Source organism: Homo sapiens, chromosome 2 (assembly GCF_000001405.40).
Source record: "Homo sapiens chromosome 2, GRCh38.p14 Primary Assembly".
Lineage (NCBI taxonomy): Eukaryota > Metazoa > Chordata > Mammalia > Primates > Hominidae > Homo > Homo sapiens.
The window spans coordinates 104,112,749-104,124,891 of record NC_000002.12 but is presented as its reverse complement, the minus strand read 5'-3'; the positions used below and the strand labels follow the sequence as shown (position 1 = coordinate 104,124,891).

The window sequence follows — 12,143 nt, the reverse complement described above, 5'->3', positions numbered from 1 at the left end:
TCATTCATTCAACAGTAATTTTGGTGCCCTAATTTTACATGAGGTGCTTAGTCAGCAGAACTACCCAGCACATATACCAGGTAAACAAAATTTCATCTCAAAGTAAAAAAGATGTTTTCCCTTATCTATCTCTTTGATGTGTTTCAGATTACATTATTAACCTTTGCATTTCAAAGAGACATTTGCAAAGTTTTTTTTTTTTTTTCGAGACGGAGTTTCGCTCTTGTTGCCCAGGCTGGAGTGCAATGGCAGAATCTCAGCTCACCACAACCTCCGCCTCCCAGGTTCAAGCCATTCTCCAGCCTCAGCCTCCCGAGTAGCTTGGATTACAGGCATGTGCCACCACACCTGGCTAATTTTTTTGTATTTTTAGTAGAGACGGGGTTTCTCCATTTTGGTCAGGCTGGTCTCGAACTCCCGACCTCAGTTGATCCGCCTGCCTCCTAAAGTGCTGGGATTACAGTTGTGAGCCACCGCGCCCAGTGACATTTGCAAGGTGTTCATTCGAAAGCATAAAGCTATTATTAAAATCTTCCAAGTTTTCCTGATTTTTGAATTATCACCTATGTTTGATCACATACTGTTTTAATGTTTGCTTCCAAACAGTTTTCTGCATCTCTGTATCACTGTGGAAACATTTGTTTTTCTTTTCCTCCCAGAAAAGATGACTTTTGATTGCACTAGATGTGTTATTTAGAAACTAGTCAAACGAAAGAACTGTTTAAGATTGAGAGCAGAGAGTGTGTCACATCAACTGTCATGTATGCACTCTGTCTATATCATGTTCAAAAGTAGGGAGAGTTGGGGGGGTGTTATTTGTTTATTAAGTATCTCATGTTACATACTTTCAAAGAAATTACCACTTATTCTTTTGTAAATAATGTTTTAAGAAACGTGTCATTTTAGTGTTTGTTCTCTAGAAATGATAAATAATTAAAAATAGACCTGGACCACCAGCTTGCCAGAGGTTTAATGAAGTTATGAAAACTTTGTTGACCAATATATCCTTTGGAAGATTGACTTAGACCACCATTGTCTAGTAAAACTCTCTGAGATTAGGAAAACTTTCTATATCTGCTCTGTCTGATGGTGTAACCCATAGCCACATATGGCTATCGAGTGCTTGAAATGTTTCTTTTATTACAGAAGTAACTAACATTTTAAGTTATTTGAGTTTGATAAATTTAAATATAAATATAAATAGACTCATGTGGTGAGAGATGACCATGTTGGGTGGACATATTTAGACAAATGCTGAGATTAAACGTATACTTCAGATTTTGTTAAAAATTTCATTCAGAGAACTATAGAAAACTGAGAAGAATAGTTAATGTTTTGCTAAAACCCCAAGCTGAGTGTCTGGCACACAGGTGTCATTCAGAGAGTGTTACATTTTTCCCTTTCCTTCTTCTTACGATGTTACAGTATCACAGTGCATATAGGTAATATATAGCAAATTAAAACATTAAACATTTAGGCCAGGTGAGGTGGCTTACGCTTGTAATCCTAGCACTTTGGGAGGCCGAGACGGGTTGCATGAGCTCAAGAGTTTGAGACCAGCCTGGGCAACATGGTGAAACCCCGTCTTTACAAAAAATACAGAAAAATTAGCTGGGCATGGTGGTGTGGGCCTGTGGTCCCAACTACTTGGAGGGCCGAGGCAAGAGGATCACTTGAACCTGGGAGGTCAAGGCTGCAGTGAGCCGAGATCCTGCCACTGCACTCCAGCCTGGGTGACAAAGTGAGACCTTGTCTCAAAAATAAATGAATAAATAAATAAATAAATAAATAAATAAAACATTTATATTTGTTACAGGTTTTTAGCATGATGAGAAAGTATGCAACAGGAAAAAATCTTGTGAGTCAGTTGAAATAGATTCTTTTTATAGTTCTATGCGTAACTAATACGGTATTAGAAAGTATTGCCTTCTTTCTTTTCTCTCCAATAGTGGAATGGGGATGTAACCACCTTTCTCCCATCTAATACTGTGATTTTACTAAGTTGAACCATATGACGTTGTAAATTTTATACCTTAAACGTGACAACTATGAACAGTTTCATTCAGTTCAACAGATTAATTAGGAAAAATAAATGGCACACTGAAGGAAAGGCAACGTGTATTTTAGAATGTAGTTATTTCCCAAATTGTTAAACACTTATTATTTTCAGAGAGTATATTTTTGGGTAAAATAAATAAAAATGGAAGTGTCTATATAAATATGTTTATCTGTGTGTGCATGTATATATGCATAACTTGCCTCCAGGCTGTAATGTAGAGGTTTAAGCTGCATACTCTCTAGGAGCATGACTTAAGAAAAAAGTTTAGTCTCTGTTTCTCTCAGTTCATATATGGCTTACATTTGCACATAGTTGGGTAAATTGAAATTAAAAATCTCCTTTTAATTGAGAAGAATTTCGGGTCCAGTTGATTTCATACCATATACCTAACCACCACGGCAGGTCTTGAAAGAACAGAGACGGACTCTTCAGTAGAGTAGGGTAATCAGAATGATGGCCTCTTACTTTGGAAGGTGTTCTCATGCTCTTAGAGAACCAGAAGCTCAAAACCGATAATGCTTGTTTACAGATGAAATAATTTATGCATGCAGAAGACACAGGGGAGATAGCATGGTATTTGGGCTACTGGTTTCAAGTAGTAATAGAAGAATAGATTGACAGAGAGAGGAGTCTTAAGATCTGTCCCAGCTCATCACTGCTTCCCTGTTCCCAGTCTTGGTGGGTGGAAAACCCAGGACATACCCACCCAGGGAGGGTCTCCTAAAAAAAAAGAAGTAACATAACCGACCTGAAGCCATTTGCCTGGGAAATGTCTTTGGGCTGCTGCTGAGAACCAGTGAGGGTATTGCAGAAGAGGAAGAAAATACTAATGAAACGGTGATGGTGCCCCAGGGTGTGTGGGGAGAAGGCAAAGCAGATTTGAAGCACTGTGGGGACTCCTCAGGCAGGCTGTCCCCATGAGCTGCTCCCCTACTCCCTGCACATATCTGCGGGCTAAAACCTGGGCTCAGCCTTCATGTGGCCAATGAAAATTGACATTTTCCATATCCCAAGGTTAGCCTAACAGTAATTAAAGCATCACATTGCACACAATTCTTTCCATTATAATTTAAGTGGATTTTATGCTATTTTAAAAACCATTCTAGTTCCCACTGTGAATAATGAATACAAATAAAGTTGAATGTCAGACCTGGAATACAAATCAAATAAGAAAACCTGTAAGTATCCCAAACATCTGCCCCCACAATCCCTAAGTCTCAGGTGCTTTGCTGCCAGCCCAACATTTCATAAATGGTTGCCCTGGTTTGCTTTTGATGTCAAGCTACCTCAACGGGCCACTTCTGTTCCATTAACAATGATAAGGCACCTCACACTCTGAGACATCCTTCCAGCTTCCACCGTCTTTCCAGAAATTCATTCATCTTTCTAAGCAGCTATATTAGACAGTGCCAAGAAGATTTCTAAAAAGGAGATAGACAGACACACCTACTCAGAAATCACAAGGTCTTTCAGATATGATAATTGGTTTTTTTTTTTTTTCCCATCACTGAAAGAATGGGGCTTTTGCTCAATTCATTTTCTACACTTTCAGTCAATGTGCTTAAAAATGTCCCTGCCTCTCTGGATCCCTAGGAGGGACAATTTTCAGCTATGCTCTCCTGCAATTGTGGATGTGATTTTGTTGTGTTCTGATTCTGAATAACACGACAGAAAGTTGACATCAGCATAGCTTGCTCCTCTCATTGTCGTTCCATGAAATAGGAAGAGAAACTGGAAACAGAGCTTTACACATGGTCTAGCTGGAAGGATAGTATAGAAAAGGTTGAAATCTTGTAACCCCATTTAAAAATGCATGAGAGGGGACAGATTTGGGTTTCTGCTGCCTGTTCACCATGGACACCCAAGAGGCAGAAACAGGGAAAGAAGCCTGTAGCCTTTCTGTGACTCATTGTAATGCAGAAAAGCCTGGTGACAGGGAGTTGTTTTTATTTTTATACTATTACTAGACTGAAAAGCATTAATATTGTCATACAGATGGTCACCTATGTTGGAAGCTTATGAAAGAACTCTAAATTGCGAAAAGATTATTCTAAATTCAGGAAAGCATCAACTCCCTAATGCTAAAGGTGGAGCCGTGCTGCTAAACATATTAGTATTTCTTAATTCAAACACCTGTTCTGCCCGTACGATACATAAAAAAGCTCTTATTTATTGCTTGCATCTCCATTTCAGATTTAATCTCACTATAAATTCATCTCATGTTAATTTATGTGCAAACAAAGACACACACATTTTAAATATCCGAAATGCTGGAAATAAACTTATTTTTAATTTTGTGCTTGTTTTCCATTTGTCAACCAGCAAATGAAAGGACTGAATAAATCATGCACTAATTGCCAGCGGTGCTAAATTTAGTGTGAGATCTGGAATCCTTTTGATCAAAACCGCTGAATATGAAATCATCCTCAGCTCTCTAGGCAACTTTATCCGCCTTTCTATTCTCCATCTGTCAGTCACCTGGGAATTTGTGAACTATTCCATATGTCAGGCTTGTCAATCACAATGGGATGTGGGAACTATCTGCCTACTGCATAGGAATTCTTGTTAAAAAATTAATCTGCATTTAACTAGTAGTTCTATATTTTGAATACCATATTGTTTGGTGTTTTGAATTTTTTTCTCTATGTAAGGTTAGTAGAAATAAACTTTATTTAAATAGTGTAGATTAAAAGTCTTCATTTAAATAACATTTACAAGCATGTAACTGTTACACATATATCTGTTATATATAGCCAGTAATATCGTGCATGCATATGCAACATTTTAAATAGAATCCCCTTATTATGGTAACACTGAATCTGACACAAACCTATCTTACCTACTGACACTCTAAATATATATGAAATAAAAGGTAATAAACGTGTGAACATCTCACCGTTTTGAGATTCGCAAACCTATCAAGTTATTTCTGAGAGAAAAATGATTCACCAAAGGTGCTTTAAGCTTAAATGCATGTAAAATATTCAAATATCTCATTTAAATAAATATGCAAATAAAATTGTATTCCTCACAACATCGTTGCCTTTCTATCATATTTTTATTCTAAACCAATTAGGAAAATTCAGAAATCGCATATAACATAGAATGTCTGAAATATCAACCTCATTGAATTTGAAATGTTTACATATTTCATATTTTAACTCCATTTACTTATGATAGAATTTGAGAAAACAAGCAGCAGAACTATTGAAATATTAGAAAAAGATCAAAACAACATACTGGAAACAAAGATAATAGTGCCAGAAATCCAAATTAGTATACAAATCTTACAGATCTGTGACCTTAGGCAAATTACTTAATTTTTTTGTACCTGAGGTCCCACGTCTGTGCTATGAGGACATAAATAGATACAAATCTAAAAGATTGTTGGAAAAATGAAATAATATATGTAAAGCCCTTAAGAAAATGCCTGGCAGATAGAAAATACTGAATAAATGTGATATACTGTATGTACTGTCAGGGTCAGTATTCATACTGTGAAGGTTAAAGGAGGGAATTGAATATAGGGAAATTGCTATAGAGATGCTGGAAGAGCTGAAAACATTGAGTCCATTTGCTACATTACAGCCACCTGGAAATCAATTATTTTCTCCCACATTCAATGCCCTTCAGAGTTCCCCATTTCTCTAAGGAAGGAAATCCTTAAAAGGGCCTACAAGACCCAGAGAGCAACAGCTCTCATTAATTATGCACACGCCTCCCTTAAAGTCTCTACCTTTTTCTTAGCCTCAGAAGCACCATGCTCCCTCCCACAGGGCCTGCACTCACACCGAGCCCTCTGTCTGGAGCCCTTTACCTCTGTCTCTTGACCCAAATATTCTTGAGTTCTCAACTCAATTATCACTTTCTGGGCTTCTTCCTTCCCAAGGGCCCTCAATGCTCCCATGCTTATACCCAGCACTGTATAATTAATCACTAAATGTTTAGGTTGCACATAAATCTGTCCTTCTGTCCTTTGATCACACACTTATTTGAGAGATTTTGATTAATCTTTGTCTGTCCCACTAGAGAGTAAATTTCATGAGGTCAAGGACTCAGTCAAATTGGCTTCTGAGTCCAATAATGACACGTAGTAGGTGGGCATTGTATTTTGACTGAATGAGTGGCCTGCCTTAATGAGTGAGTTATCAGAAGATGAATAGTAAAGAAATGAATACCTGTGCATTTAAGGGCAAATGTCCTAACTTAAATAACTAAGTGACTAAGCAATGCACTTAGTAATTTAATAGGAATAAAATGTGAAATACACATAATTGCTTTCACACAACTGTAGTAAACAGAATTATATCTGACTTGGAGTAAATATCCAGCACACTGTGGACCATGTCCTAAACTCCGCAGGTTGCATTAGCGTCATCTTTCATTATCTACCAGTCATTTTCTACATACATCTAAAGTTTTCTCCATTGTAATAAATCTCTGATTTCATGTGTGCCCTCCTAAAAAACTGTTAGTTCTCTGAGGAGGCGCATGGCCCGGGTCTTGATCTCCTTTTTTTCCTTAGAACCTAGCATAGAGCCTGATACATAGTAGCATGTCATTACATTTTGTTTAGTGAAGATATAGCTTGTGTTCAGAACAATATGCCTTTTCTTGGCTGCTTAGCTTAGATGCTTATAAACTGCTTTTGTTCCATTGATCCCCACGAGCCCCTTGGTTGTACTATCTTCCATTGTCACAGACTGTGCATTTTCCTGTCTATCCATCATGAGAATGCATTACACTAGCTAAAATAGGGACTAGAGAATACAATGTGGTCAATTTAAGGCAAATTCACCATTACTGTAGGAAAATAAATAAAAGAAGGAAGCAGCGAAAAAAAAGAAGAAACGAGGAGGAAGGAAAGGAAGAAGGAAGAGAGGAAATAACAAAAGGAATAAACAAACCCATATATTTTTCAGTAAAAATTCTTTATTCCTAAATACAATTTGAAATGCCTTGAAATATCACTTTCAAAAACAAAATTATTTCATCTAATGAAAAATAGCAACACCAGAGAACCAAAAATATTATCCAGAGGTATCTGAAGATAGCTTTTAAAAGTTTATGTTACACAACTCAGCAAATTTGCTTAGTTTTCTATTTATGCAAAAATAAAATAAGAAACAGGAAGAAAGTAACAAAGAGTAAATTGATGAAAAAGATAAATTTAAAAATTATTTTGGCTGTGTGTGTCTGTGTGTGTGTGTGCATTTCTGGGATATGGCTACTATTTTCTCTAACCATGAACACCGAATAGAAGTGATATAATAAAAAGTTACAAATATTAAACGTATGGTTTAATTAAGAATTTACAATTTTATGCTAGAAATACAAAAGCAATTCAAGTTACAGAAAGTTAAAAGATAAATCAACATTAATAGATACATAAACACTATTTGATAAATTTAATTTGCCTCCAAGTTGAATGTTCTTAACATGGTGAAAATAGAACTAAACATCCTGAATAAAATTGCGATTAAAAATTTGCATCAGAATCATATGTAAAGTGAAATTTTAAAATATTCTTCAAATAAAAAAGGTGAAAGACAAGGCATTATTGTCACTAGTGCTATTCAACATTGTAGTGAGTATCCTGGCCAAAGCAGTATGATAAGAGAAAAAGAAAAACTTTGATATGAAAATTAAAATAAAAAAGACACACTGTTATTATTTTGGACCATATGACAAACTACCTAGAAATCCTCAAAGGAACCACTAAAAACCTACTAGAATAAGAGATATCAGTGAAGAGTCCCAATAGAATTCAAAATTTAAAAGTCAATTTCTTAACTAAGTAGAAAATTTGGGTAGGAAGGATCTGAATAACTAGAGCAAAACAAGCTACAAAATACTTGTTAATAAACTTGATAAGAAATGCTCAAAGGAGGTATAATGAAATCCATGCATTACTTTGAAGGGCATCATTTAAATATATTAATTTGGAGACATGCTTCTTACAAAATAGAAAAATTGTAAAAATTTTGATTCTCCAGATATTCTATAAATATAGCCAATCCCAAATGGAAATTCTAACAGAAATATTTTAATGTAACGGAACAAATTCCAACTTTCATTTGGAAAAAAAAAAAACATGACAGTTGTTTTAAAAAAGAGGGAAAAATAAAAACTTTGGACATGTTCCAAAAGATTAAAAATATACTCTAAAGCTAGAGCAATTAAATGAATAAGATATTAGCACAAGAATAAATAGAAAGGTCAATAGAAATTGTTGATAGCACTAAAATTGATCGAATTATGACAAAGGGTCACTTAAATTAGTGGGGAAAGGAAGAACTGTAATAAATGTTGTTGGGAATATCAGCTATCTTTTGGATTAAAATAATTTAGACCAAGCCACATAAAATTAGTTTGTAAAAATGTAAAAAAGCATTAGAAAAACATTGATCTGCGAAATGGAGATCATTCTATACCTCAGGGTTTTAGGAGGGTTAAGTGGTTTGAGCCTTGTAGTGCCTCCAAAATATAGTAAGATTTCGCTATTTTTTTTTAATTTAAAAATTTTAACTTTTATTTTAGGCTCAGGGTACATTTGCAGATTTGTTATGTAGGTAAATTGCATGTTATGGGGTCTGGTATACAGATTATTTTGTCACTCAGGTAATAAGCATAGCACTCAATAGGTAGTTTTTTGATCCTCCCTCTTCTCCCTTCCTCCACACTCGAGTAGGTCCTGGTGTCTGTTGCTCTCTTCTTTGTGTTCATAAGTACTCAATGTTTAGCTCCCACTTGTGCATGAGAACATGTGATATTTGGTTTTCTGTTCCTGTTTTAGTTTGCTTAGGATAAGGGCCTCCAGCTCCATCCATGTTGCCACAATGGATAGAATCTCATTCTTTTTTTTATGGCTGAGTAGTATTCTATGGTGTATATGTGCCACATTTTCTTTATCCTGTCTACTGTTGATGGGCATTTAGGTTGATTCCATGTCTTTGCTATTGTAAATAGTGCTGCAATGAAAATACACATGCATGTGTCTTTATTGTAAAATGATTTATATTCTTTTCACTGCTTTTTGTTTTTTAATAGAATCTAGGTTTTGTGTCTTGCTTAAGAATACCTACTCTCATACTAACAGGAAAATTTTCTCTGATATGTTATCTTAACGTTTCCTCAACTTAGATAAGGATATTGAGATTTGGAGACACATAATCTGACTCTAGAGCTTTTTCCTTAGCCATTCATCTACACTACCTCCCTAGGTGGACCACATAAATAGCAAAGCAAAAACAACTTCCATATAGGAAATGATATAATAATCCAAGGTTATTGGATTGGGAATAAGCCCATAAATCTTGGAAACAGTATTGGAAACAGTACTTGCAAGGTATAAAAAGTTAAATAATAAAAACAATTATGACATGCATAGGGAAACTTCAAATCTAAAAGAAAAAATATTGAAAAATAGGCAAGAAATATAAGCATACAATTTAGAGAGTTAATATAAATACAATTTTAAGAGTGTTTGTAGCTAGGGGATACAAATTTAAATAATGATGAGATCCTGTGTTTTTTCACCCAACAGCTAACAAATTAGATTGATATTATCAAATACTGTTGGTCGTGTGAGACAATGGATACCTTCATATACACTTTTTGGGAATTTAACATGGTGAAGAGTTTTTAAAACTGCAAACAGATTCTACTAGCAAAACTGTAAGTGCAAGTATTCTTCCACTAACCAAAACTGAGTGAGTACCTATGTCAGATCAATAGCATATATATACATATGTAATAATACACAGCATTTATTTATTTTTGATACAGGGTCTCACTCTGTCACCCAGTCTGAAGTATATGATCGTGGCTCACTGCAACCTCCACCTCCTGGTCTCAAGAAATCCTCCTGCCTCAGCCTCCTGAGTAGCTGGAACTACAGGCGTGTGCCACCACACCTGGCTATTTTTCATATTTTCAGTACAGATGAGGTTTCACCATGTTGCCCAGGACAGTCTCAAACTCTTGAGCTAAAGCAATCCACCTGACTTGGCCTCCCGAAGTGCTGAGATTACAGGTGTGAGCCACCACTTCTAGCCCACAGTATTTATTTTTAATGCTTTCTTTCAAAAGGGAAAAAGTTGGAAATACACATACAATGATAAAAAATTATATATTACTCATGGTATATATACCAAAGCACAAAGTTTTCAAGGCACATGTGGAAATCAATGTACATTCAGCATGGTCTAGCCTGTGTCCGATTGGCTCTCAGTTTAAGAGGATAAAGAAATTGAGAGGAAATGTTTTAAGAACAAATGACAATATAATATTCCATATACATACAAAGTTTCAAGATACATCAAACAAAAACAATTCTAAAGTGAGAACAAGACAAATCAAATCCATAGTTATAGATGGAGATTTTAATACCCTCATAGTAATAAAGGTATATAATATTTATATGTTATTGCCAATCACTTAATTTAACCGTTAAGGAACAATATACCTAATATTGCACATGACACACTATATTCAAGTGTACTCGGATCCATTAAATCAGGGTAGATCATATGCTGGGCCATATAATGTGTACCAATAAATTCCAAGAACTGATATTATACACACATATTATCTGGCTACAATGTAATTAAAATATAAAGAAATAAAAAGATATCTGGAGAATGCTAAAATACTTAAAATTAAGCACTTCTAAATACCTCGTAAGAGAAAGAAATCAGAAGAGAAAATAGCAAATATTTTAACAGAGAAGCCACAAAAACATAATATATTAAAATTTGAGGGCTGCAGCTAAAGCAGTAATTGAAAGAAAATTTATGCTTATATTAAAAAATTAAGAATATCAGATTCCACTTTGAGAAGTTAGAAAAGGAAAAGAAAATTAAAACCAAAGTTAATAGAAAGAAAATAGTAAAGACATGAGCAGAAATCACTGAAGTAGAAAATTGACAAGCAGTAGAGAAAAACCACCAAAATACAAATTTGGTTTTTTGAAACAACTAATAAAATTGAAAGATTTCCAGTTAGACTAGATAGATTAATTAGAGAGAGAGTGCGTGCAAAATCACAATAAATATCATCAATTAACATTACTATAGACTCTACGGCCATAAAAACAGATAACGGAATGTTATAAACAAATACATTTGACAGTTTGAAGAAATTAACAAATTTTTAAAAATTTTTCGACTTTTAAGTTCAGGGGTACATGTGCGGGATGTGCAGGTTTGTTAGACAGGTAGACAGGTGCCATAGTGGTTGGCTGCACAGACCGTCTTATCACCCAGGTATGAAGCCCATCACACATTAGCTATTCTTCCTGATCCTCTCCCTTCTCCCACCCCCTGTCCTCCAACAGGCCCCAGAGAGTGTTGTTCCCCACCAGTGTTCATGTGTTTTCATCATTTAACTCCCACTTATAAGTGAGAACATGCGGTATTTGAATTTCTTGAAACATACAAATTTCCAAATCTGTCACAAGGAATAGGAAAAATTCCTAACACATCAGTCAATCTCAATCAGATATGTTAGCTTTCTCTGGGATCCACTGACAATGTCTAGAGGCCTTTTTGTGTCGCAACTCAGGGGGAAAGGGTGCTATTGGCATCTGGTGAGTAGAGGCCAAGGATGTTCCTAAACACCATTCAATCCTGTAATAAATAGGACAGCTCTACACAAAAAAGAATTATTCAGCCCCAAGCATCAATTGTACCAAGATGGAGAAACCTGTTAATACAACTTTTCTTGTTATATAATTCTAATTACTCATCAAAAACCTTTGACAAAGAATATTGCAGACACAGTTGGCCTCAATGTTGGAGTACATTGAATATTTGAGGAAAAATTAATACCAGTGTTACACAAACGTTAAAAAATAGTCAAGGAGAGAATACTCACAACTCATTTTATGAGGCAAAATTCCCAGATACTAAAGTCAGACATAGAAAATACAAGAAAAGAAAACTACAAACCAATATTCTTATGAATATTGATGTAAAAATCCTCAACAAAACATTAGTAAATAGAATTAAGAAACATTAAGAGAATTTCACACCATGATCAATTATCAAGGATATTTTGAGATATGAAAATCAATTGATGTAAT

The 12,143-nt window shown here is 35.1% G+C and overlaps 1 long non-coding RNA gene across 2 annotated transcripts in view, besides 1 other annotated feature; it reads left to right on the top strand.

The window, feature by feature from the left end:
- The window catches only part of LOC105373523 (uncharacterized), a 43,330-nt gene extending 33,444 nt beyond the window's left edge, over positions 1 to 9,886 (top strand). For both annotated transcript variants that reach the window (XR_923128.1, XR_923127.1), the window contains exons 6-7: positions 9,606 to 9,736; positions 9,848 to 9,886. This is a non-coding gene — a long non-coding RNA (uncharacterized LOC105373523). The remainder of the gene's footprint in view (positions 1 to 9,605; positions 9,737 to 9,847) is intronic.
- Positions 3,985 to 4,832: an enhancer, noted in NCBI's record as "VISTA enhancer hs401". NCBI's record gives its function as "enhancer in: hindbrain (rhombencephalon)[4/7]" and the evidence as "EXISTENCE:transgenic organism evidence [ECO:0001131][PMID:17130149]".
- Positions 9,887 to 12,143: the final 2,257 nt, after the last annotated feature.